Source organism: Homo sapiens, chromosome 1 (assembly GCF_000001405.40).
Source record: "Homo sapiens chromosome 1, GRCh38.p14 Primary Assembly".
Lineage (NCBI taxonomy): Eukaryota > Metazoa > Chordata > Mammalia > Primates > Hominidae > Homo > Homo sapiens.
In genome coordinates this window covers 202,911,529-202,939,422 of record NC_000001.11, presented here as the reverse complement: position 1 = coordinate 202,939,422, position 27,894 = coordinate 202,911,529, and the positions used below count along the sequence as shown (strand labels likewise).

Sequence of the window (27,894 nt, the reverse complement as noted above, 5' to 3'; positions counted from 1 at the left end):
ACATTCAAACATTTCGTGAAATGACACTATACAATATGAAATGCATCTGATATCTAACCTAGGTTACTTCACTTAAAAACAGTGCTGGCTGACCCACTAAATTGTTCTCATGACTCAGTAATGGGTCGCTACTCACGCTTTCAAACACACCGCTCTTGGAAAAACCTGGCTTGTACCAAAGGGTTCATTGCAGCTGTTTGTAGTAGCAAAATGTTGCAAACAAGCCAAATGTCCCAAACTGTTGAATGGAAAACTATATCTTGGTGTATTCATATAACGAAACACTGCTGGTGAAAATGAATTACAGTGACAAGCAACAACATGGTTGAGCCTCAGAAATAAGATCGGCAGGAAGGGAGGGAAGCAACAGAATACATTTGCATAATTGCATGTATGTAAAATTAAGAAAATTGCTAAATTAATGATAGGTTTAAGGATACAAACATGGTAAAAACTTTAAAGAGGGAATGTTAATTTAGAATAATGTTTACCTCTGAAGGACTAAGAATCTTTAAAGTTTGTTATTTTAAGTTAGGTGGTGAGCACCTACGTGATCCTTTTGCCTAAGATCATGTGATACTCACTGCCTTTATGCAATGAGTGTTTTATATGTTTAATCCAAAACCATTTTAAGTCTTAAAAAATGCTTAAGGAACTGTTGGCAGAAGTCACAAACTGATGACCTGTACATCAAAAACATCCGTAGACATGTTTGGCCTTGCACAGTGAGAGCAATCAACTGCTACTCAAAAGCAGCTATGTATGTCCTTTATAGAAGGCTGGTGCACTCCAGTTCATCATGGTCCCTACCTAGGGTGATGGTCTCAGTGCAGTCATCTGCTGGCCTCTGCAGGCATCTCGGTTTGCAGCCGCTAGTATAAGAAATGGAAGGAAACCTAGGGATCATATCTGATCCAACTCCATTTTCTAGATAAGGAAATGAGATCCACAGCTGTTGAGAAGGCCTAGTGTGTGGGGGAGGATTGCTTGAGTCCAGGAGTTGGAGGCTGCAGTGAGCTATGATCACACCACTGCACTCCAGTCTGGGTGACAGAGCAAGAGCCTATCTCTTAAAAAAATAAAATAAAATAAAAAACAACCTAATGTGTGTTTCTTCATTTCTCCGTACTAGACAAGATCAGGGAAAGATGATCTAAGAGATAACATTATTGGGCACCTATTTGGTACTTTTGGTATGTCATTTTATATCGTTGACTCTGTGGAATACATAGTAAATGTAGTTAGAAAATAAGTTAGTCTTTCCCCTAGTTCTTCATTCACTAATAGGAAAGGGATAGAATCAGATTCTCAGTTTTCATTCTTGGCCTCCTTTTTTTTTTTTTTTTTTTTTTTTCTTTTTTAATTGAGACAGAATCTCACTCTGTTGCCCAGGCTGGAGTGCCATGGAGCAATCTCGGCTCACTGCAACCTCCGCCTCTGGGGTTCAAGCGATTCTCCTGCCTCAGCCTCCCAAGTAGCTGGGATTACAGGCACATGCCACCATGCCCAGCTAATTTTTGTATTTTTAGTAGAGATGGGGTTTCACCATGTTGGCCAGGGCTCGTCTTGAAGTCCTGACCTCAAGTGATCTGCCCGCCTCGGCCTTTCTTTAATCACAGTTCATCAGTGTTTGTCATTTACTTATTCCATAGTGCCTAGCACCTAACAGATTTGAGGACCACACTGGATTTCAGCTGCTATGAATCTGCTTATTGCCTCATCTAGAAAATGGATGGAGTTACATCAGGTGTGATCTCTAGGTTTCCTTCCAGTTCAATACTAGTGGCTGCAAATTCAGATCCCTCCAGGAAACTAATAATTTTTCCTAAGGTGATGGACAGGTTTGGAGCCAGTATCTGAATCCAGGTCATTCTCATTTAAAGCTCGTGTTCTAAAGACTCAGATCACTTAAAAATTCCTTTTGCTCATGTTTTCAATATCTTCCCTTGCTTTTGTCAGAACTGCTAACTAGCAGCAAGTAACTATTACCTTCTTTCTCTAATTGCATACTTCTGGTTCATTCACTTACTTTCTAAATACTTGAGGACCTGTTATGTGCTAGGCATTACAGAACAAATGACAAAAACACTGATGAGCTTGGATTAAAGAAAGGCAAAGCATAAAAGCTAAGAATCTGATTTTACCCCTTTTCCTATCAGTAAATCAAAAAATAGGGGAGAGCCTAACTTATCTCTATAAGCCATCCATTTTCTTTTAAAAAAATATTTTCACAAAGGGCTAATATCCAGAATCTACAACGAACTCAAATGAATTTACAAGAAAAAAACAAACAACCCCATCAAAAAGTGGGCGAAGGATATGAACAGACACTTCTCAAAAGAAGACATTTATGCAGCCAAAAAACACATGAAAAAATGCTCACCATCACTGGCCATCAGAGAAATGCAAATCAAAACCACAATGAGATACCATCTCACACCAGTTAGAATGGCGATCATTAAAAAGTCAGGAAACAACAGGTGCTGGAGAGGATGTGGAGAAATTGGAACACTTTTACACTGTTGGTGGGACTGTAAACTAGTTCAACCATTGTGGAAGTCAGTGTGACGATTCCTCAGGGATCTAGAACTAGAAATACCATTTGACCCAGCCATCCCATTACTAGGTATATACCCAAAGGATTATAAATCATGCTGCTATAAAGACACATGCACACGTATGTTCATTGCGGCACTATTCACAATAGCAAAGACTTGGAACCAACCCAAATGTCCAACAATGATAGACTGGATTAAGAAAATGTGGCACATATACACCATGGAATACTATGCAGCCATAAAAAATGATGAGTTCATGTCCTTTGTAGGGACGTGGATGAAACTGGAAACCATCATTCTCAGCAAACTATCGCAAGGACAAAAAATCAAACACCGCATGTTCTCACTCATAGGTGGGAATTGAACAATGAGAACACATGGACACAGGAAGGGGAACATCACACTTCGGGGACTGTTGTGGGATGGGGGGAGGGGGGAGGGATAGCATTAGGAGATATGCCTAATGCTAAATGACGAGTTAATGGGTACAGCACACCAACATGGCACATGTACACATATGTAACAAACCTGCACATTGTGCACATGTACCCTAAAACTTAAAGTATAATAATAATAAAATTTAAAAATATATATTTTCCTATTTTTTTTAAATTTGGGGTGTGTGTGTGTGTCTGTGTGTGTGTTCTATAAGCCATCTGATATGGTTTGGCTGTGTCCTCACCCAAATCTCATCTTGCATTATAGTTCGCATAGTCCCAATGTGTCCTGGGATGGATCCAGCGGGAGGTAATTTAATCATGGGGGTGGTTACACTCATGCTGTTCTCATGTGAGTCAATTCTCATGAGAGCTGATAGTTTTATAAGGGGTTTCCCCCTTTTTACTTGGCATTTCTTGCCATGTGAAAAAGGACATGTTTGCTTCCCCTTCCACCATGATTGTAAGTTTCCCTAGGCCTCCCCAGGCATGCTGAAATGTGAGCCACTTAAACCTCTTTCCTGGCTGGGCATGGTGGCTTATGCCTATAATCCCAGCACTTTGGGAGGCCGAGGCAGGCAGATCACTTGAGGTCAGGAGTTCAGTACCAGCCTGGCCAACATGCTGAAACCCCACCTCTACTAAAAACACAAAAAAATTAGCCGGGTGTGGTGGCAGAGACCTGTAATCCCAGCTACTCAGGAGGGTGAGTCACAAGAATCACTTGAACCTGGGAGTCAGAGGTTGCAGTGAGCCAAGATTACACCACTGCACTCCAACCTGGGCGACAGAGTGAGACTCCGTCTCAAACAAACAAACAAAAACCAGCCAGGCATGGTGGCTCATGCCTGTAATCCCAGCTACTTGGGAGGATGAGGCAGGAGAATTGCTTGAACCTGGGAGGTGGAGGTTGCAGCAAGCAGAGATTGCACCACTGCACTCCAGCCTGGTCAACAGAGTAAGATTCCATCTCAAAAAAAAAAAAAAACCACACCTTTTTCCTTTATAAATTATCCAGTCTGGGATATATCTTTGTTAGCAGTGAGAGAACAGACTAATACAACACCCATTTTCAATTTTTAAAAAATGCAACTTTGGGAACTTTAGTAAACTTGGATTATTGCAAATGAATAGGACCCAAAGAAATTCTCAGATGTCCTGTGTGTTAGTCTAGTTCTCAGGAAAGCACTTGCTAAGATGAAATTATATGTGCAAAGATTTTATTAGGGGAAATGCTTATATGTAAAGGAAAATAGATTTTAAGACAAAAACAAGAAGAGACAAAGAAGATCATTATATAGTGATAAACGGGACAATTCAGCAAGAGGATATAACGCTTGTAAACATATATGCATCTAACACTGAAGCACCCAGGTATATAAAGCAAATATTATTAGAGCTACAGACAGAGATAGGCCCCAACACAATAATACCTGAAGACTTCAACACTCCGCTTTCAGCACTGGACAGATCTCCCAGACAGAATATCAACTATCAACAAAGAAACATTGCACTTAATCTGCACTATAGAATAAATTAACCTAATAGATATTTACAGAACATTTCATCCAGTGGCTGCAGAATACACATTCTTATCCTCAGCATATGGACCATTTTCAAGGACAGACTATATGTTAGGTCACAAAACAAGTCTTAAAAGATTCAAAAAAATTGAAATAATATGAAGCATCTTCTCGGACCGCAATGGAATAAAACTAGAAATCAATAACAAGAGGAGTTTTGGAAACTATATAAACACATGGAAATCAAACAACATGCTCCTGAATGACCAGTGGGTCAATGAAGAAATCAAGAAGGAAATTGAAAAATTTCTTAAAACAAATGATAATGGAAGGACAACATGCCAAAACCTATAGGATATGGTGAAAGCAGTACTAAGAAGGAAATTTATAGCTAAAAGTGTCTACATCAAAAAAGAAGAAAAACTTCAAATAAAAAACCTAATGATGCATCTTAAAGAATTAGAAAAGCAAGAGCAAACAGAGCCCAAAATTAGTAGAAGAAACGAAATAATAAAGATCAGAGCAGAAATAAATGAATTTGAAATGAAGGAAACAATACAAAAGATCAACAAAACAAAAAAAAATGGCTACTATGAGCAACTATATGCCAATAAATTGGAAAACCTAGAAGAAATGGATAAATTCCTAGACACATAAAACTTACCAAGATTGAACCATGAAGAAATCCAAAACCTGGACAGACCAGTAAGAAGTAACAAGATCAAATCTGTAATAGAAAATCTCTCAGTAAAGAAAAGCCTGGGACCTGACGGCTTCACTGCTGAATTCTACCAAACATTTATAATGAGAGTAATACCAAGCCTACTCAAACTGTTCCAAAAAATAGAGGAGAAGGGAATACTTCCAAACTCATTGTACAAGGCCAGTATTACCCTGATACCAAAACCAGACAAAGACACATCAAAAAAAAAAAAGAAAGAAAGAAAGAAAGAAAGAAAGAAAGAAAGAAAGAAAGAAAGAAAGAAAACTACAGGCCAACATATCTGATGAATATTGATGCAAACATTCTTAACAAAATACTTTCAAACCTAATTCAACAATACATTAAAAAGATCATTCATCATGACCAAGTGGGATTTTCCAAGGGATGCAAGGATGATTCAACATATGCAAATCAGTCAATGTGATATATCATGTCAACAGAATGAAATCATATGATCCTTCCAATTAATGCTGAAAAAGCATTTGATAAAGTTTAACATCCCTTCATGATAAAAACTGTCAAAAGACTAAGGATAGAAGGAACATACCTCAATATAATAAAAGCTGTATATGACAGACCTACAGCTTGTATCGAACTGAGAGCCTTTCCTCTTAGATCTGGAACCTGAAAAGATGCCCACTTTCACCACTGTTATTCAATATAGTACTGGAAGTCCTAGTTAGAGCAATCAGACAAGAAAAAGAAATAAAGCCATCCAAATTGGAAAGGAAAAAGTCAAATTATCTTTGCGTGCAGATGACATGATCTTACATTTGGAAAAACCTAAAGACTCCACCAAAAAACTATTAGAACTGATAAATTCAGTAAAGTCTCAAGATACAAAATCAACATACAAAAATCAGTAGCATTTCTATATGCCAACAGCAAGCAATCTGAAAAATAAATAAAAAAAAGTAATCCTATTTGCAATAACCACAAATTAAATACCAAGGAATTAACCAAAGAAATAAAAAATCTTGGCCGGGCACGGTGGCTCATGCCTGTAATCCCAGAACTTTGGGAGGCCGAGGCGGGTGGATCACAAGGTCAGGAGATCGAGACCACCCTGGCTAACACGGTGGTGGGCACCTGTAGTCCCAGCTACTTGGGAGGCTGAAGCAGGAGAATGGTGTGAACCCGGGAGGCGGAGCTTGTAGTCCGAGATCATGCCACTGCACTCCAGCCTGGGCAACAGAGTAAGACTCCATCTCAAAAAAAAAAAAAGAAAAAGAAATAAAAAATCTCTACAATGAAAACTATAAAACACTGATGAAAGAAATTGAAGAAAACATCAAAAAATAAAAAGATATTCCATGTTCATGGATTGGGAGAATCAATATTGTTAAAATGTCCATATTACCCAAAGCAATCTACAGATTCAATGCAATCTCTAAAATACCAGTAACATTCTTCACAGAAACATAAACAATCCTCAAATGTATATGAAAGCACAAAAGACCTAGAGTAGCCAAATCTATCCTGAGCAAAAAGAATAAAATGGGACAAATCACATTACCTGACTTCAAATTATACTACAGAGCTATAGTAACCAAAACAGCATGGTACTGTCATAAAAACACACAGAGAGAACAATGGAACACAACAGAGAATCCAGAAACAAATCCGCATACCTATGATGAATTCATTTTCGACAAAGCTGCCAAAGAACATACACTGGGAAAAAGAGTCTCTTCAATAAATGGTATTGGGGGAACTGGATATCCACATGCAAAAGAATGAAACTAGACCCCTATCTCTCACCATATGCAAAAATCAAATCAACATGGATTAAAGACTTAAATCTAAGACCTCAAACTATGAAACCACTATAAGAAAACTTTGGGGAAAATCTCCAGGACATTGGTCTGGGCAAAAATTTCTTTATTTTTTTTTTTAAAGATTCTTGTTTCCAGTGGGGTTGGAAAAAATTTCTTGAGTAATACTGCATGAATACAAGAAACCAAAGCAAAAATGGGCAAATGGGATCCCATCAAGTTAACAAGATTCTGCACAGCAAAGGAAACCATCAATAAAGTGAAGAGACAATCCACAGAATGGGAGAAAATATTTTCAAATTACCCATCTGATAAGGGATGAATAACTAGAATATATAAGGGGCTCAAACAACTCTATAGAAAAAAATCTAATAATCTGATTATATCTGGTTAAGGCCAGGTGCAGTGGCTCACACCTGTAATCCCAACTTTGGGAGGCTGAGGCAGGTGGATTGCTTAGTCCAGAGTTCCAGACCAGTCTGGGCAATATAGTGAGACCTCTTCTCATAAAAAATAATTTTTTTTTTAATTAACAGAGCATGGTGGCATGCATCCGCAATACTAGCTACTCAGGAGACTAAGGTGGGAGGATCGCTAGAGCCCAGCATTGAGGAGTAGCAGTTGCAGTGAGCCGAGATCGTACCACTGCACTCCAGTCTGGGTGACAGAATAACACCCTGTCTCAAAATAAATAAATAAATATTTAAAAAATAAAAGTTGGGCAAAATATTTAGACATTTCTCAAAAAAAGACATAAAAATGGTAAACAGGCATAAGAAGAGGTGCTCAACATAATTAATCAGAGAAATGCAAATCAAAATTACATGAGATATCATCTCATCCCAGTTAAAATGGCTTTTATGCAGAAGTCAGGCAATAACAAATGCTGGCAACAATGTGGAGAAAAGGGAACCCTTGTACACTATTGGTGGAAATGTAAATTAGTGCAACCACTATGGAGAACAGTTTGGAGGCGCCTCAGAAAACTAAATCTAGAACTACCATACAATCCAGCAATCCAACTACTGTGTATATACCCAAAAGAAAGTAAATCAACTGTGTGTGGTGGCTCATGCCTGTAATCCCAGCACTTTGGGAGGCTGAGGTGGGCAGATCATGAGGTCAGGAGTTTGAGACCAGCCTGGCCAATATGTGAAACCTTGTCTCTACTAAAAATACAAAAATTAGCCAGGCATGGTGGCCTGCACCTGTAGTCCCAGCTACTTGGGAGGCTGAGGCAGAAAAATTGCTTGAACCTGGGAGGCGGAGGTTACAGTGAGCCGAGATCACACCACTGCACTCCAGCATGGGCAACAGAGTGAGACTCTGTCTCAAAAAAAAGAAAAGAAAGTAAATCAGTGTATCATAGAGATATCTGCACTCCCATGTTTGTTGCAGCAGTGTTCACAATAGCTAAGATTTGGAAGCAACCCAAGTGTCCATCAACAGATGAATGGATAAAGAAAATGTGGTACTTATTCATGATGGAGTACTATTCAGTCATTAAAAATAATGAGATTCTGTCATTTGCAGCAACATGAATCAAACTGAAGGTCATTATGTTAAGTGAAATAAACCAGGCACAGAAAGACAAGCATCGCATGTTCTCACTGATTTGTGGGATCTAAAAACCAACCAATTGAACTCACAAAGATAGAGAGTAGAAGGATGATTACCAGAGGCTGGGAAGGACAGTGGGGGTTGGGGGAAGGTGGGGAGGGTAACGGGTACCGAAAAACTAGAAAGAATGAATAAGACCTAGTATTTGATAGAACAGGGTAAGTATAGTCAATAATAATTGAATTGTACATTTTAAAATAACTAAAAGTATACTTGGATTGTTTTAACACAAAGGATAAACGCTTGAGGGGATGGATACCCAACTTTCTGTGATGTGATTAGTACACATTATATGCCTGTATCAAAATCCCTCTGTACCCCCTAAATATATACACCTACTATGTACCGACAAATATTAACAAAAAAGAGGAAATAAAAGAAGAAAAAAGTCAGAAGTCTGAACTAGTTCCTTTGGTGTGATAATCTTGCTAACAACTTCTCCATCTTTTATTTTGTGAATAAAAGGAGTAGGCATACTCTAAACAAAGCCTCTTTTATTATTAAGTTCCTTCTCATATTTGGAAAAATCCTTAATTTAACAGTCAGGAATTAGGCAATATCATTAAAGTACTATTTTACATCCTGAAAACAAGGAATTATTTTTACTTTTTATTTAATTTAATTAATTTATTTATTTATTTGAGATGGAGCCTTGCTCTGTTGCCCAGGCTGGAGTGCAGTGGCGTGATCTCAGCTCACTGCAACCTCTGCTCCCTGGGTTCAAGCGATTCTCCGGCCTCAGCCTCCTGAGTAGCTGGGATTTCAGGCGCAGGCCACCATGACTGGCTAATTTTTTTATTTTTAGTAGTGACGGGGTTTTGCCACGTTGGCCAGGCCAGTCTGGAACTCCTGACCTCAGGTGATCCGCCCGCCTCGGCCTCTCGAAGTGTTAGGATTACAGGCGTGAGCCACTGTGCCCAGCCTATTTTTACTTTTTAAAAAATTGAACATATAAATATATTTTGAGGCGTGCTCTTGCTACGTTGCCCAGGCTGGTCACGAACTTCGGGGCTCAAGCAATCTTCCTGCTTCAGTCTCCAAAGCAGATAGGACAACAGGTAGGTGTACACCACCGCACCAGGCTCTGAACATTATTTTTAATTCATATGAAGCAAAATTCAAAAGGCAAAATAAATTACAAAGAGCAAAAATCTCCTTCCCACCCTGTCTCACAACCAAACAGTTCCTTTCCCCAAAGAAACCAAGGTTACCACTTTGTCTTTTCAAATACATGTTACACATACACAAGCAAATATGAATATATCTTCCACCTTTTTACACCAATAATAGAGTATATAAATTGTTCACAGCTTCATGGTATTGGATTTTATGGATGTACTATACCTTATTGAATCAGTCCCCTATTAATGGACATTTAATGTTGTTGTTGATCTAATCTACAAACAATGCTGCAGTTAACAATCTTGTACATACATCGTTTTACATGTGCACGAGTATATGTGAAGGAAAATTTTATTAAAATCGACGAATATTTCCAAAATGCCCCCAATAATATACCAATCTTGCATTCTTCTCTACAATGTGTGAGTCAGGGACAGTTTTAGATCAGGAAGGTATGACATGGAAGATGGGGACACGTTGTAAATTTAGAATGCTACCCACTTGGCTATGGTTTTAGTACCCTTAAGAATCAAAGGGCTAGGCGCTGTGGCTGACGCCTGTAATCCCAGCACTTTAGGAGGCCAAGGCGGGCGGATCACGAGGTCAGGAATTCGAGACCAGCCCGGCCAAGATGGCGAAACACCGTCTCTATTAAAAACACAAAAATTAGTCGGGCGTGGTGGTGTGCACCTGTACTCCCAGCTACTCGGAGAGGCTGAGGCAGGAGAATTGCTTGAACCCGGGAGGCGGAGGTTGCAGTGAGCTGAGATCGCGCCAGTGCACTCGAGCCTCGGCGACAGAGCAAGAGTCCGTCTCAAAAAAAAAAAAAAAAAAAAAAAAGAATCAAAGGGCTCACAGAGCATAATAGTATTACCAAACACAATTTGTCTAGACATTCAGATAAGCTGAACTAATTAAGCTTTTTGCCTTTTCAGTCACTAAGTGCACCAAAATAAATTAGAATTTCCTGAATCAATTAGAATTTCCTTAGAATCAATTCAGTGGTGATGACAGGGCCCATTATGATGCAGAGTATATACTGAGGTCTGTGGATCCTAAGGCTCAGAGGATTCTCGCCGCAGCGTTGTTCGGCCCGAAAAGGCCATTGTGGACAATGGACGTGAATAAATTTGAGGCCTCTGTGGGTTTTCTCGATGTCAAAAAGTTCCTCAGTACCTGGAAGGTAAAACATACTTGCTGCAATCAGATGCTTGGCATATTAAGCGTTGGAATTCTCTCTGCCTGCCCTGCCTAGTGAGCGGTAGGGAGGAACTCAGGCTCAGCCAATCGCCGAGCTGTAGATACATTCCCAGGCTCCCTGCCGGACCCCACAACATCCAGCCTTTTTTTTGTTTTTTCTTTTTTTTCTTTTTTCTTTTTTTTTTTTTTGAGACGGAGTCTTGCTCTGTCGCCCAGGCTGGAGTACAGTGGCGCGATCTCAGCTCACTGCAACCTCCGCCTCCCGGGTTCACGCCATTCTCCTGCCTCAGCTTCCCGAGTAGCTGGGACTACTGGCGCCCGCCACTACGCCCAGCCAATTTTTTTGTATTTTTAGTGGAGACGGGGTTTCACCGTGTTAGCCAGAATCGATCTCCTGACCTCGTGATCCACCCGTCTCGGCCTCCCAAAGTGCTGGGATTACAGGCGTGAGCCACCTCGCCTGGCCTTTTTTTTTTTTTTTTAAGAGACAGAGTCTCAGTCGGTCGCCCAGCCCGGAGTGCAATGGCGCGATCTCGGCTCAGCAACCTCCGCCTCCCAGGTTCTAGCGATTCTCCTGCATTAGCCTCCTGAGTAGTTGGGATTACAGGCGCGTGCCACAACGCCCGGCTAATTTTTTTGTATTTTCAGTAGAGATAGGGTTTCACCATGTTGGCCAGGCTGGTCTCGAACTCCTGACCTCAAGTAATACACCCGCCTCGGCCTCCCAAAGTGCCGGGATTACAGGCGTGAGCCACCACGCCTGGACATTTTTTTTTTTTTTTTTTTTTTACAGGGTCTCATTCTGTGGCCCAGGCTGGAGTGCAGTGGCGATCCTGGCTCACTGCAACCTCTGCTGCCTGGCTCAAGTGATCCTCCTGTCAGCCTCTCGAGTAGCTGGGACTACAGGCGCGGTGCGGGCTAATTTTTTTTTTTTTTTTTTTTTTGTAGAAACGGGGTTTTGCCGTGATCCCCAGGCGGGTCTGGAACTCCGGAGCTCAGGTAATTCGCTCGCCTCGGCCTGCCAAAGTGCCGGGATTATAGGCGTGAGCCACCATTCCCTGCCCACCCGACCTTTTTGTAATTCGGCTTCCTAGCAGCGTACAGAAGCCCCGCGCTAGGGTACAGACAGGTCACGTGACACCACCTCCTCACGTGACGCAGACTCTGGAGCGGGGGGAGGGCGGTGCTCCAGCTGCATTGCGTCATCACGTCGCGCGGCCGCAGGGGCCAGACCCGGACGGCTCCAGAGCCTCCAGAGCCTCCGGGTCTGGGCGGCGCTTCGGCTCCTCCCGAGCCGCCTGCTAGCCCCGCGCCGCACTCCATCCCCACAGGCTGGGGACGGGCCCGGTGCGGCTGTGTGGGTTCGGGAGCGGAGGTGAGTTGCGCGGAAGTGATGGCAGTCAGCCCTTCCCTTCCTGTCCGTCAACTCCGGGTTATGGCCCTACCCCCCATCCTTGGTCTCCCTGCAAGGCGGAATGGGAGACATGCCCAACAGAGGAGGAAGGCTGGCAGTGGGGTGGGGCATCTGGCCTCGGTCACCCTCTCAACTCTCCCCCTGAACTGCCCCTCTCCGATACCTCCACCTGGCGGTGGCGGCCATATGCCTGGTGGTATTAGGAGGAAGGACTTCGTTTCCTTCTCTAGAATTTAGTCTTTCCCGAGTTTACTACCCATTCCCTGCCCCGAATCTCCCGAAGTGGAATCCCTCCATTCAGATGTTAACGAAAGTTCTAGAAAATAGGTCACTTCAGAAGGGTGAGGATGAAGGATATGCTGAGACTTGGAGTGTTGAGGCAGGAATCCCCTAGAAGGAAGACCACTCTGCACCGGGGTACTGTCATTTTGACACGGAAACGATAAAAGACCCCCCGGGCTGTCTTCATAGTAAATGGACATTTGTTCTAGACCTTTTTACACCCCTAGAGTTGCAACTAAGTTGACTTAAGTCTTTTTGAAAAACATATGCTTTGATGAATCACCCGCTTTTCTGTAAAATGGGTCTTGCAGAGTTGTTGGAGGAATTATCTATAGTGCTTATAGAGTAAAATGCCAACTACAAACAGAAGTAGATGAGAATTTAGGATCTCATTTTTCCTGTTGAAAGATTAATTGTGACTTGTGGACTTTTGGAGACCACAGTTTGATTTCCTTCCCCCCGGATCATTTCAGAAAGTTTTGGATTCCAATATCGATTCTTTAACAGTAATGGACATTCACAGATGTAGAGTAGGAATACCCTCTTGTTGAAGAGCTTCAATATCTTAAGCAAGTGTAAGTCCATCGATAACTTGCGTGGTTTCCATTATTCAGTGTAGGTAATGGGTCCTCAATTGAAGTTTCTTTTTTTTTTTTTTTTTTTGAGACAGAGTCTCGCTCTGTTGCCCAGGCTGGAGTGCAGTGGTGTGATCTCGGCTCACTGCAACCTCCACCTCCTGGGTTCAAGTGATTCTCGGGCCTCAGCCTTCTTGGTAGCTAGGATTATAGGCGCGCATCACCACGCCTGGCTATTTTTTGTATTTTTAGTAGAGACTAGGTTTCACCATGTTGGCCAGGCTGCTCTCAAACTCCTGACCTCAACTGATCACCCACCTCAGCCTCCTAAAGTGCTGGGATTACAGGAGTGAGCTGTTGGGCCCGGCCTGAAGTTTCATTTTAAGAAGAAATCCAGATATGTTTGGAAGTCATCAGACATATCATTTGGATACTTCTTTAGAAAAAAGTTTATTTTTACTGAGTGGCCTTTCTTGCTCTAAGTTGAAGTTGAATACACACTTTTTCTTACATTAAATTCTAAACATTTATTGTGCAACTTCTAGGATAGAAAGCATACATATAAAGCAGGATCCTCTTTTTATGTATGCTCTAAATACTTATCTACTTAAGGACATTAAATAGTAATAATATAACACCTTTAAGAAATTTTATATTTTCGGTTTATCATTTGAGACAAGAACCTTGTCAAGATTTACAAGACATATATTGTTTATCTCTACTTACATTTCAGCATTGATCATATTAAATGTCAAGTGGTAGGGACACTCCGTGATAGAGGAATTCAGAGGAAGAAGAGAGAGCTTTTACATGGACTAGATAGTGGCTAGTGGTTGGTGGTGATGCCAGGCATAGGAGTGCCCTCAACTTGTGTATGTTTGGGTCTGAGGAAGCCTCTTAGGTTCTTAATTTGTAAAGCTAATTAAATATGTTCAGTTGCCCTAGTTCTTTGAATATGCTCATTGTTTTTTTTTCCCTCTTGTAGTTGCAGAATCCAAGGACCCATTTTGTTCTTTCTCCGCACTGCTTTATGGGAGGCATTATGGCCCCCAAAGACATAATGACAAATACTCATGCTAAATCCATCCTCAATTCAATGAACTCCCTCAGGAAGAGCAATACCCTCTGTGATGTGACATTGAGAGTAGAGCAGAAAGACTTCCCTGCCCATCGGATTGTGCTGGCTGCCTGTAGTGATTACTTCTGTGCCATGTTCACTAGTGAGGTAAGTGGTAAATTAGCCCCACACAAATGAAACCCGTGGAACTCTAGTTGTCTAATTTCACTGAATAAAATAGTGGAAGTTTGATATAATTTTGAATTTTTACAGTGTGATGTTTTGGCAGATTCTGGATAAGATCTACCACTTAGATGACTATGCCTTAGTTTCCTCATCTTTAAGTTAGGGATAATAGTAATATGTAACACATGGTTATTAAGGTTGTTGTGAAGATTATTTTATGAAATAACATAGGAAGTGCTTAGAATAGTGTAATATGTAGTAAAACACACATGTCAGCTATTGGATTTTACTATTTCTTAAATTTGTCTTCCAATTTTTCTCCTTTTTTTGTTTTTAATTTTATTTATTTATTTGTAGAGACAGGGTCTCACTATGTTGCCCACGCTGGTCTTGAACTCCTGGGCTCAAGCAATCCTCCTGCCTTGGCCTCCCAGAGTGGCCACACCTGGCATTACAGGTGTGAGCCACGGCATCCAGCCTTTTTTCCTTCTAAAGTTTAAAAATTTTTAAGTGAATACCAGAGGGATAAGGAGGAAGGAAGGAGAGAGGAGTAGGATTCAAACCACATCCCACTCCTCCTAACAATATGTGAAGAAAATCAGTGTAAATTTTAGGATAACTTCAAATGAAAGGAAGAAGAGTTTTTAATGAATAGCTGTACAGGCGTTGAGTGTATAACCTGAGAAAGGATGTTAACTCATAAGCACTTAACAAAGGGAATTAGGAAAAGGTTGGCTTGAGAGAATACAGGTAGTGCTCACAAAGTATTAAGAAACACTACTTAGTAATTGCCTGACAAAATACTTGAAATGTATAGTAAGGCTGCTGAATATATTGTGTTGAATATTCTTAGAAAGCTGAACAGAAAATAACATTGCAAATCTTTGTTTTTCAAGATCCCAAGTCTCATTTTAAGAGCAGATTTAAATAAATTATCTTGATTTATTTTTTCAAAGCTCAGTTGTGGGTGCATCACTGTTTATTATATAATTTACACTTACATGTATGCCTGAAATATTTCATTATGAAAACACTGTTTTAAAAGTCTTTTTAAGCACAAGTTTTTTGTTTGTTTTTTGTTTTTTTTTTAGTTAGTTCTATCATCTTAGTGTAGATATTGCTGCTGAATCAGAATGGGAGAGGCGTATTCTGTGATGGTAATAACTACCTTTTATGGGCCAGGTACTGTGCTAGTAATTGTTGTGCATATCTGACTCACCCTAGGGGTAGGTATTACCATCTCATTTTACAAATGAAGGAATAGGGTTTCAGATATTAAATCACTTGCCCAAAGTCCCATGGCTTGTAAGTGCTAGAGGTGGGATTTCATTTTATATTTTCCAACTCTAAAGCCCAAACAGTTTGTAACTCTTGTGCCGCCTTAGCCTCCGAAGTATGAATTTTATATACTACAATCTAATTTTAAAACTGGTATAGTTAAAAATACTATGAGCCAATGCTCAGTCACATGGCTAGTAGGGAAAACAGGAACCTGACAGGTCATTCCAACTAATTCAGGCTAATTTTTAAATAAACTTGTGTGATATACCAAGGCAGATCCCTGTCCTATACTGTTCTCCATGAGATATACCCAAGATCATCAGAAGCATTTGGAATTTAACTGGGTAAAGAGAGTGTCACCCAGCAGCTGCTGAGCAAGAAATGAACTAGAACGGCTGATTGCTAATTATATGTTGTGCATCCTGTTTTTTGTCAGCTTGAAAATAGTGTCTTTACTCTTTTGTTATTTGGAAATGAATTCTTTTTTTCTCATCAGTGATGATTTCTTTCTTTAAAAACTGACATCAGGCAAGGAAATGCTAGATGGTTTTGTCTTTATTTTTGAGAGTAATTGTTCAAAGGAGAGAGTCCAGAGACCTGGATTCTAGGCTTAGTTCTCTTAGCAATTCTGTATAAACCCTGGGAACCATCTAACTTCACTGGGTTGATCTGTAAAATAAAGTAGTTGAACTAGATGGTTTCCTTGTTCTCTTCAGCTATGAAATGCTCCTCAAATGTCATCTGATTGAAAGATCACAAAGACTGAGGCAGGAGGACCTGGGTTTTGTCTCTCTCTCTCTCTCTTTTTTTTTTCCTGAAATACTTTAATAAGAATGATATCTGTCTCTTACTAGCTAAGTGACTGGTTAAGTCTTGGATCTTCAGCTGGGCGTGGTGGCTCACGCCTGTAATCCCAGCACTTTGGGAGGCCGAAGCAGGTGGATCACGAGGTCAGGAGATCAAGACCATCCTGGCTAACACGGTGAAACCCCGTCTCTACTAAAAATACAAAAAATTAGCCGTGCGTGGTGGCGGGCGCCTGTAGTCCCAGCCACTCGGGAGGCTGAGGCAGGAGAATGGCGTGAACCCGGGAGGCGGAGCTGGCAGTGAGCCCAGATCACGCCACTGCACTCCAGCCTGGGTGACAGAGCGAGACTCTGTCTCAAAAAAAAAAAAAAGTCTTGGATCTTCTTTGATCTTTAGACCCTTTATCGCTCTCTCTTTTTTTTTTTTTCCTTGACGCCTGGCTAATTTTTTGTATTTTTAGTGGAGACGGGGTTTCACCATGTTAGCCAGGATGGTCTCGATATCCTGACCTTGTGATCCACCCACCTCGGCCTCCCAAAGTGCTGGGATTACAGGCTTGAGCCATGTGCCCGGCCCCCCTTTATCTCTTAGATAGTAATAATATCAGACCTAACTACCTTACCAGGTTGCTGTGAGAATCAGATGAAATAGTAGTAAATGAGAAGCATGCTGAAAAATTCTAAAGCAAAATATAACTGTAAAATGTATAATTGCTCTAAGTTCTTACATAGTGAAATTGTTTCCATATTTAAACTATTTGATGGAAATGTAGTTTATTGAATGAGAAATTTCTGGAATACATGTACTTACATATTTCAGTACCATAATTATTAAATGCATTTAATGTGTTGGGATAGTAATTGTTTATGAATATTAGTACTGTATTAAATGTTAATAAAACCTAATATGTTTTTTCAAAATAATGTGCTAGTGACTTTTTTAGTGTTAGGGATTGATTTTGTTCTTGGCTTTGGTAGAGAGTGCTTTTTGGTTATTCTCTGGCTGATGGAGAAATAAAAAACGTTAAAGCCATTTAGTTAATAATGGAGATGCACCAGAGTTTTTTAAGTAAAATGAATTTCTAAACTAAGATTAAGATCTAGTAAAATTTTCATAAGGTATTTTCAGATAGTTTCCTGTAAAATTGAAGATTTCTTCTCTTAGCTAAACAGTTTTCTATGATTATCTGGCCTCATCAATACTCATAGCTTCAAGAAGATATACTACTAACAATTTAGACTAAATATACTGCTAACAATTCAGTTAGTCTAACCCAATATTTTGAAAAAGTAACAAATAATTTATTTGTATTCAGATGATGTTACATAAGAAAGTCCCTTAGGATGACCTGCATGTTCTTTTTCGTCATTACTAAATGCAGTCTAAGGGCCGGGCATGGTGGCTCACGCCTGTAATCCCAGCATTTTGAGAGGCTGAGGTGGGCAGATCACTTGAGGTCAGGAGTTCAAGACCAGCCTGGCCAACATGGTGAAACCCCATCTCTACTAAAAACACAAAAATTAGCCAGGCATGGTGGCATGTGCCTGTAGTCCCAGCTACTCAGGCGGCTGAGGCAGGAGAATCGCTTGAACCTGGGAGGTGGAGCTTGAAGTGAGCCAAGATTACGCCACTGCACTCCAGCCTGGGCAACAGAGCAAGACTGTGTCAAAAAAAAAAAAAAAAATTAGCTGGTTGTAGTGGTGTACTCCTGTAATCCCAGCTACTTGGGAGGCTGAGGCACGAGAAACACTTGAACCTGGGAGGCAGAGGTTGCAGTGAGCTGAGATCACACCACTGCACTCCAGCCTGGGGAACAGAGCAAGACCCTATCTCAACAAAGGGGAAAAAAAAGTAGTCTAAGGACAGATGATAGGAACTAGGTAGTCCTGGAGAGACTGGAGTTATAACCCACAGGCTCCTCTACGAACATGAAATTTCTTTGAAATATTGTGTCTTATCTTAAAAGTTCACGGACCAGTGTTATGTTCATGGAACTTTTGCATTCTATTCTGTAAATACATCTGTATTTTAATATGAAATAGATTTTTAAAGTTATTCACTGGCAAAATTACTATTCCAGGAAGGTGTTACCTATTACTTATTCCTGGCGTATAGATAACTACCTACTTCATTTGGAAAGCTACAGATAATGTGCCATATTTGCTTTATTAAAATCCAACAAAATTGGCCGGGCGCGGTGGCTCACGCCTGTAATCCCAGCACTTTGGGAGGCTGAGGCAGGCGGATCACGAGGTGAGGAGATCGAGACCATCCTGGCTAACACGGTGAAACCCCGTCTCTACTAAAAGTACAAAAAATTAGCCGGGCGTGGTGGCGGGCGCCTGTAGTCCAAACTACTCGGGAGGCTGAGCCAGGAGAATGGCATGAACCCAGGAGGTGGAGCTTGCAGTGAGCCGAGATGGCACCACTGCACTCCAGCCTGGGAAACAGTGCAAGATTCCGTCTCAAAAAAAAAAAAAAAAAAAAAAAAATCCAACAAAATAGAGCATAATTTTATTTTTTTATTTTCTTTCTTTTTTATTTTTTTGAAATGGAGTCTCACTCTGGTGCCCAGGCTGGAGTGGAGTGGCACAATCTTGGCTCTCTGCAACCTTCGCCTCCTGGGTTGAAGCAATTCTCCTGCCTCAGCCTCCTGAGTAGCTGGGACTACAGGCATGTGCCACCATGCCCAACTAATTTTTGTATTTCTAGTGGAGACGGGGTTTCACTGTGTTGGCCAGGCTGGTCTTGAATTCCTGACCTCAGGTGATTTGCCTGCCTTAGCCTCTCAAAGTGCTGGGATTACAGGCATGAGCCACCACGCCTGGCCTGTAATTTTTAAAGATAAATGTTCAATTAATATTATTAACATCTCTAAGCTCTTAGATATGAGATTCTGCCTTTATCTTGTGGAATTATAACCATCATTCTTTTATACCTTTTGAATTTTCAGCTCTCAGAGAAGGGGAAACCTTATGTTGACATCCAAGGTTTGACTGCCTCTACCATGGAAATTTTATTGGACTTTGTGTACACAGAAACAGTACATGTGACAGTGGAGAATGTACAAGAACTGCTTCCTGCAGCCTGTCTGCTTCAGTTGAAAGGTACAGACATTAAAACTTGCTATTGTTTATGTCAAAATAGCCCTGGAAAGGTTGAAAATTAATAGTGTAAACTTAATCATGAACATTTTGGAGACAAACTATGGATGTTCATGTTTGCTGGCCATGGCTTTTGTCTCATTGAGCAATAAGAGATCAGATGTCAATAGCACTATAAAGGAACTTCTCCAGATATGAGTATTTGGCTCTATAAAAGAGAGCATTTGCACCTTTTCTGTTTTAAAAAAAAAATGGAGGAAGGAGAAATTATGTGTTTTCTTACATACATGTATGTAACACACCTATAAGGAAATATAATAAAAAAGTGATACTATACATAGCCTACATGGATACTCTTTATCTATCTGGCCATTAAGTGGTAGTATTTCATTAAGATACATGAAATTTAAATTGATGCACAAAATATTAAAGTATGATATTTTCACAGGATTACAGGTGGTTTGTTTTCCCTTACAATTCCCAGGTTTTTTGTTTTGTTTTTGAGACAGAGTCTCACTCTGTCACCCAGATTAGAGCACAGTGGTGCAATCACAGCTCACTGTATCCTTGAATTCTTGGGCTCAAGCAATTCTCACACCTCAGCCTCCTGAGTAGCTGGGACCACAGGTGCATGCCACCACACCCAGCTAATTAAAACAAAATTTTTTTGTGTGGAGATGAGTTCTCTCTATGTTGCTCAGGCTGGTCTCAAGCTCGTGGGCTCGAGTGATCCTCCCACCTTGCCTCCCAGAATGCTGGAATTATAGGCACGAGCCACCGTTCCTGGTCCCCAGTTTTTCTTTTTTAACATTCAGTTATGTTTTCAGTTTTTATATATACATAATTGACACACTTTTAGTTTTTAATACATGATTTAAACAGTGTGAAGCTTTTGCATTAGTGCATAGCCATAACATTAAAATACTCTGAACTTTTCAATTAGATAAATATGAGATTTGTTATTACTATCTTCTCCTTTTCTTTCACTCTAGTCTTTTAGTAAGTTTTCATGTAGAGTAGAAAATGGATACATTATGCTGAATTCGCAATTGGTTTTATAGTTTGATTCCCAAGAGTTTTATAGGCATTTTTGTTGAATTGTGCCAGGTCTCTGGATGTGATTCATCTTGCAATACTCATTTTAAAGATTAAGCAGAGACAGGTGTAAAGGTCTTGCTGAAAGTGGCACAGTACATAAGCCAGAAATAGAGTTTAAGTTCCTTAAGCATAGAATTTCTAATCTGTTTCTTAGGTGTTGAAACAAGGGTTCATCTGATAACATGTAGAGAAGATGCTGAGATACAAGAATATATCCTAGATCACACCTGTCCAACTATTCTAAAGTGTTTGCTGCCTGTGTCTGTCCTAGGTGTGAAACAAGCCTGCTGTGAGTTCTTAGAAAGTCAGTTGGACCCTTCTAATTGCCTGGGTATTAGGGATTTTGCTGAAACCCACAATTGTGTTGACCTGATGCAAGCAGCTGAGGTTTTTAGCCAGAAGCATTTTCCTGAAGTGGTACAGCATGAAGAGTTCATTCTTCTGAGTCAAGGAGAGGTGGAAAAGCTAATCAAGTGCGACGAAATTCAGGTACGGATTTGTCTTGATGTTATGGTTTCTTCAAGATTGGGCAATTACAAAACTTGCAAATAGGATGCAGTTACTTACCATCAGGGCTTCATAATTAAGTGTGCATTTTGGCTCAAAGATTTCATTAACCCCTCCTGTACCAAATTTATTTGCATTTTTATGGAGAGGGAGTTTGCCACTTTCTTCAATTAGATATATGATCCCAGTGGGTAAGAATCACTATTCAACAGAGTATAGAATAAGCAGAAATTGGAAGTAAAGTAGGTATCTGTAGACCACTTCTCTATTACCCGTTCACTCATTTCACAAACATTTATTGAGAATATCTACTATGTAGCACTTAACTATGCCAGGTGCTACAGATCCCCAAGTGGGTAAATATAGTTCTTGCTTTCAGAAAATTCACAACCTGCTAGTAGAGACAGAGATATAGACAAAAAAAATGTTATAAAGAGGATCATGAGAATAGTGAGCCTATACAAAGTAAGGACATTACATAGAAGAAAGAAGAATAAACCTTTGCTCAGGAGTGGATCAGAAATGAAGAGACAAAAGTTTGGAAGTGAGGATCTACAGAAGCAGGAGCCAAATCATAACTGTCTTGTGAGGATGCAGCGGTTGGAAGGGAGGGACACATGAACTGGATGTTAAAGGAATAGTAGGCCAGGTGCAGTGGCCTATGCCTGTAATCCCAGCACTTTGGGAGGCTGAGGCAGAACTGCTTGTGTCCAGGAGTTTGATACTAGCCTGGGCAACATGGCAAAACCCTGTCTCTACAAAAAAATAAAATTAGCCTGGCATGGTGGTGAGCACCTGTGGTCCCAGCTACTTGAGAGGCTGAGGTGGGAGGATCTCTGGAGCCTGGGAGTTTGAGGCTGCAGTGAGCCATGATCGCACCACTGCACTCTAGCCTAGGCAACAGAGGGAGACCCTGTCTCTTGCGGGGGAAGAAGGAATAATACTTCACCTACCAGGGGGATACTACCTGTGCCAGGCAGGCATTCAGTGACTTAACCTACACAGAAGAAAAGTCAATCCTAATTCTAAATCAGAGTACCAGTAGCAGAGTTTTATTGCATATAGGTTTGTAGTTAGGCTGAGAATTGGAGTGAGAAGTCCAATATAGTTATTAGATGTCTTTGAAGCCCATAGTATTGATCTCCAGTGGTCCAATTCTTTAATTTTTTTTTTTTTTCTTCTGAGATGGTCTCACTCTGTCACCCAGGCTGGAGTGCAGTGATGCAATTATGGCTCACTGCAGCCTGGATGTCTGAGCTCAAGCAGCTCTCCCACCTCATCCTCCTGTGTAGCTGGAACTGCACATCACCACACCGGGCTAATTTTTTAAAATTTTTGTTGAGATGGGGTCTCGCTGTGTTGCCCAGGCTGGTCTTGAACTGCTAGGCTCAAGCAATGCTAGGCTCAGGCAATACCATTTAAAGAAAGCCTCTAATATACTTCCATAAACTAAATGATTACTCTCTCCTGATTTATTTTGTTAAAACTAGGATATTTGTGTAATATAATAACAGGTCTTAAGTATACTTCTTCCAGGCTGGAGTGCAGTGGTGTGATCTCAGCTCACTGTAACCTTCACCTTCTGGGTTCAAGTGATTCTCCTGCCTCGGCCTCCCAGGTAGCTGGGACTACAGGCGCCCACCACTACACCAGCTAATTTTTGTATTTTTAGCAGAGACGGAGTTTCACTATTGTGGCCAGGCTGCTCTGGAACTCCTGACATCAGCCACTTCAGCCTCCTAAAATGCTGAGATTATAAGTGTGAGCCACGGCTCCTGGCCTTAAGTATATTTCTTATCAAATTTTAGCCAAGTGTTTCTTTACACCTTTCTCTAGTGACTGTTCTGAGGGAAAATGGATTAGAGCACATTGGTCACATTGGTTCCAACTGTAGAGGAATTATTTTCCAGCCTGACATACTGGGCTCTGTATCAGCCCAGAGAAGCTGCTGTTGCAAATGCTATTGAGTCAAGAATTTGCTAAAATCTTAGTTCTCAGCCTCTTAGTGTAGGACATTGTATCCTTGTGCTGAAGTGGCAGGCATAGCCAAAAAACATATTCATCAGACTTGGAAACTGGCAATTCACTAGAATATCTTGATTTTTCTTGATTTGTACACATATTGGAAAATACAATGAATAGAATGAGCACTACAGATTTGACGTTCACTACATATAATAGCTAATACTTATTCAGCATTTACTGTTGGTTCACTTACTAAATACTTGTTGAACACTTACTGTGTGCCCAGAACATTTCCATGTGCTGCAGATCAAATTATGAACAAAACAAAAATCCCTGTCCACTGGAGCTTCCATTCTAGTGGCACCATTCTTGGTATTTTTATCTCATTTAATTCTCACATCTTCATTTTTCACAGGAGGAAAGTGAAGATTGGAGTTTAACCATCATACCACCACTAGTAAGTGGTAGAGCCAGGTTTCAAATTCGAGTAGTCTGGCTCCAGAGTCTCTTCTCTTAATCACTCAACTATGAGCTCGTCATGTTTTCAGTTTGTTTCTAATTGTCCAAATCAGGAAATAATCATAGAAGTCATTTCTTTTGGAACTATACAGGCTTTGGAATAAAACTGGATGGGGCAGAGAGAACAAATAACTAACCTTATTTAGAAGCTTAAATGAAAAACAGCTTGAGAACTCTTATGTGTAGTTTTTTTTTAAGTGTGTGTCAAGACTGCCCTTTGCTTTTTTTCTGGAAAGAAAGCAAGTGACATATATTTTTCTGTTCCCTATACCAGCCAGAAATAGGAACCAGATGTCTGACTCCCAGTTGCTATTGCTCCCTCTTATTAAATAAAATAATAGTACTTAAAACAATGGGAAGCAGGATGTCATATTGGTTAAAACAGCATGGGTTTTAGAGTCCAACTGGGATTTAGTCTTGGCTGGGTGGCATGTGTTACCTAACCACTAATTTTCAGTTTCCTCTTCTATAAAATGTAGATATTAGTGCTGAGTACACAGGACTGTTCTGAGCATAAAATAAGAACGCCAGTACCTAATACTCAAGAGAATTCTTTGTGAAAATGTATTGTGGAGAAAATCTATTTTTCTCTGTAGTGAGGCATTAATGTTTGGGTTTTTTCTTCCCTGTTAGCTGTTTTTCTGCAATTCTAATTTATTCTATCTTCTGCTCATGATTGTCTGCTCATGGCTAGTCTGAGGGCAGTGGTGTTTACAACTGTTGACCACAATCAGTTACAGATTTCTTTCTTCTTGCTCCACACCTGCTGCTTCATGTGATTAGTCTTTTTTTTTTTTTTTTTTTAGACGGAGTTTCGCTCTTGTCGCCCAGGCTGGAGTGTAATGGCACGATCTCGGCTCACCGCAATCTCTGCCTCCTGGGTTCAAACGATTCTCCTGCCTCAGCCTCCCAAGTAGCTGGGACCACAGGCGTGCGCACCACACCTGGCTAATTTTTGTATTTTTAGTAGAGACTGGGTTTCACCATCTTGGCCAGGCTCGTCTCAAACTCCTGACCTCGTGATCCACCCGCCTCGGCCTCCCAAAGTGCTGAGATTACAGGCGTGAGCCACCACGCCCAGCCCATTTGATTAGTCTTAAAAACGCAAACTAAAAAACCTCTGCTCATGATTGAAAAACTCTATCTTTAAATTGATATATCTAATTTAACCTAGAATGTGTCAGAGTCTATCATGTATCTGCTTAAAACTATTTTCCAATCATATAAAAGTTTTAAGTTAAGATCAAGGACATCTTCTATACCCTCCCCTGCATCTTATCCAACAATTGCCTGGGTTAGTTTAACTTCCCAAGTATTTCTCCAGTGGCTCACCACTGCCACAACTATAGTCCAGTAAGCACCGTCACCTTTTGCCTAATGTACCAGAGCAGCATCTAACCTCTTCTAGCTCTTGGCCCTTTAAACTGTTCTACCCACAGTAGCCAGGATAATCTTTACAAAACATCAATATGATCATATCACTAGCCTGCTTGAAACCTTCGGATGATTTCAAGTTGCTCTGAGAGTCAAATCCAGTATTCTAATGCTCTCTGTACCTGGCCCTTGCTTAACTCTCCAGCTTCATATTTTACTCCTCTATCACCCTCATTCACTCTGCTACACTAGCCTTCTAGTCATTTCCTCAAGCTGCCAGTTCTTTTTTGCTGTAGAACAGAGCTGTTCAATAGTACATTCTATGAAGATGGAAGTACTCTATATCTATAGTGTCTGGTTTGCTCCCGCTAGCCCCGTGTTGCTGTTGGGCACTTGAAATGTGGCTAATGCAACTGAGAAGCTGATTTTTAATTTAGTTTTAATTACGGTGAATGTAAATAGCCACGCATGGGTAGTGTATTGGACAATGCATTTCTAGTGCTTTTTAGTGTGCTCTTCTGTCTGCCTCGGAGTACTCTCTTACTCCCCCTGGCTAACTGCTACTCATCCATCAGATTTCAATTTGTTGCTTCTTCCGGGAGGCCTTCCTTGCCTCACCAGTCTAAACTAGGAAATCTCATGTTGTTCTGTCTCATAGCCCCAGTACCTTTCCTATGTAGTATGCAATAATAGTGAGATTGTTCATTTTTCTGATTTAGCAGTTTGACTCCCCATTTAAGAGCAAGGATCATATCTGATTTGTTCACCATATCTGATTTGTTCACCATTGTGTAATCAGTTTCCAGGACAGTGCCTGGCAGTTAAGAGTGGGGTTCAGTAAAGCCCTCAAATGAATGAACTTTGTGAAACATCTGCGTTTTTAGAGTATCACAGTTCTTAGGAAAAGTTTTTTTTATCTATTCACAGTGACACTCTGAAAGGTATCTCCCAGAATATGTACTCTGTAGGGGCTGGTAGAAGGGGCACAGGACCTCTATTCAGGTGTCTGTCTTTGGGAAGTCCTAGGTGTTATTATATACCTAAGTCCTTCCAGTGATGTAGTGTAGGTTTTTTTAGAGTGTATCTCACATTATCTAATTGGTCATATGTATGCTTAGATCTAAGTTCCCCAGATGATTAATTAAATATATCTTCTCAAATAGCATAGTGCGTAATACACAGTAGTTCCTTGAAGGCTAATTGATAATGCTTTTCTTTCTTGTTTTTTTTTTAAGACATTTATTCAGCATCACCATCAGACTATTACATTTAGCAATCAACAGCATGGGTGCCAAAAAAAAAAAAATCTGCATTAAAACCCTTTGTTGGAATGCTTTACGCTTTCCACAGAACAGAAACTAAAATAACCTGTTACACAATTAGTCACAAATACAGTCCTCGAGTTTTTTGCCCATACACATGAGTATTTGTCTAAAACATGTCTCCTTTGTAGCAGTTAGGCCCTGCCACCACTGTGCTTGGCTGAGTTCACAAATCTGTTGTAACCTGTAGCTTCCCTGTCACTTCTCCGGCTCTCCTCTCCAGCTAAGCTTTGTTTCCTAATTAAAATCTTCTGCCACTGCCATAGCTACTGCTGCTACTGAAACCACCATAGCCACCTTGGTTTCGTGGTTTGGCAGAGTATTGGCCTCCACCGCCATAGGGGCCCAGAGCTTCTGCCTCCAAAGTTTCCTCCCTTCATGGGTCCAAAATTTGAAGACTGATTATTGTAGTTGCCAAAATCACTGTAGCTTCCACCACCTCCAAAATTGCTTCCATCATTACCAAATCCATTATCGCCATCCTCACTGCCACCATATCCACCACCACCACCACGGCTGTCATGCCAACCGAAACCACCTCCACGACCAAACCAAAGTTTCCAGAACCACTTCGACTTCTTTGGCTGGATGAAGCACTAGCCATCTCTTACTTTGACAGGGCTTTCCTAACTTCACAGTTATGGCCATTCGTAGGATGGTATTTCTGAATGGCAGTCTTATTCACAGAGTCATGGTCATCAAAGGTTACAAAGGCAAAGCCCCTTTTCTTGCCACTGCCTCAGTCAGTCATGATTTCAATCACTTCCGTTTTTCCAAACTGTTCAAATTATCTCTTAGGTGATGTTCTTCAGTGTCTTCTTTAATGCTGCCAACAAATATCTTTTTCACAGTTAAGTGAGCACCTGGTCTTTGAGAATCTTCCCTTGAAACAGCTCTCTTTGGTTCTCCAACTCTTCCATCCACCTTGTGTGGCCTTGCATTCATGGCTGCATCCACCTCCTCCACAATGGCATATGTGACAAACCCAAAGCCCCTGGAGCACTTGGTGTTTGGGTCTCTCATTACCACACAGTCCGTGAGCATTCCCCATTGCTCAAAATAGCTCCTCAGGCTTTCTTCATTGGTTATTTCAAAGCTCAACCCTCCAATGAAGAGCTTCCTCAGCTGTTTGGGCTCTTTAGGAGACTCTGACTTAGACATGACGGCAGGGAGGAGAGAGACTTTAAAGATGCTTCTTCGGCGGCGTCCACAGGCAGAAAGGCGATAATGCTTTTGAAAACTGCAACATAGTGATGTTAGAGAAGCTCCTGCTTCAGAGGCTTGGGTGAACAGTTTGAGGGGTGAGCCTGGAGATCATTAGATAACAATTATGACTTAAAATTATTTCAAGAGCTGACTTCGAATAAGGCAACAGATTCCCCCACCTGCCTTCCTTAAAGTTATAGAGAAGACCAGAAGCAATTCAGGAATGGGAAAAATTCTG

At 40.8% G+C, this 27,894-nt stretch overlaps 1 protein-coding gene and 1 pseudogene across 9 annotated transcripts in view, besides 3 other annotated features; one reads left to right on the top strand and one right to left on the bottom strand.

The window, feature by feature from the left end:
* Positions 9,919-10,418: an enhancer, noted in NCBI's record as "H3K4me1 hESC enhancer chr1:202898133-202898632 (GRCh37/hg19 assembly coordinates)". NCBI's record gives its function as "activates a minimal SCP1, AML or CMV promoter by ChIP-STARR-seq in primed H9 embryonic stem cells {active_cell/tissue: H9 hESC(primed)}" and the evidence as "EXISTENCE:reporter gene assay evidence [ECO:0000049][PMID:30033119]".
* Positions 10,419-10,920: an enhancer, noted in NCBI's record as "H3K4me1 hESC enhancer chr1:202897631-202898132 (GRCh37/hg19 assembly coordinates)". NCBI's record gives its function as "activates a minimal SCP1, AML or CMV promoter by ChIP-STARR-seq in primed H9 embryonic stem cells {active_cell/tissue: H9 hESC(primed)}" and the evidence as "EXISTENCE:reporter gene assay evidence [ECO:0000049][PMID:30033119]".
* Positions 10,824-27,894, top strand: part of KLHL12 (kelch like family member 12) — a 37,480-nt gene continuing 20,409 nt past the window's right edge. For 4 of the 9 annotated variants that reach the window (XM_047426918.1, XM_011509837.3, XM_011509836.3 and 1 more), the window contains exons 1-5: positions 10,824-10,942; positions 11,908-11,958; positions 14,216-14,455; positions 19,515-19,668; positions 21,035-21,252. In XM_047426918.1, coding sequence (XP_047282874.1) covers positions 10,874-10,942; positions 11,908-11,958; positions 14,216-14,455; positions 19,515-19,668; positions 21,035-21,252 — 732 coding nt within the window. In that variant the 5' untranslated portion in view covers positions 10,824-10,873. Of the gene's footprint in view, positions 10,943-11,907; positions 11,959-12,188; positions 12,335-14,215; positions 14,456-19,514; positions 19,669-21,034; positions 21,253-27,894 lie in introns of those variants that run through there. The other 5 variants (XM_047426919.1, NM_001303109.2, XM_017001995.3 and 2 more) reach the window with 2 other exon arrangements.
* Positions 11,997-12,046: an enhancer, noted in NCBI's record as "active region_2338". NCBI's record gives its function as "activates an Ori minimal core promoter by ATAC-STARR-seq in GM12878 lymphoblastoid cells {active_cell/tissue: GM12878}" and the evidence as "EXISTENCE:reporter gene assay evidence [ECO:0000049][PMID:35858748]".
* On the bottom strand, positions 26,495-27,672 carry HNRNPA1P59 (heterogeneous nuclear ribonucleoprotein A1 pseudogene 59; annotated as a pseudogene).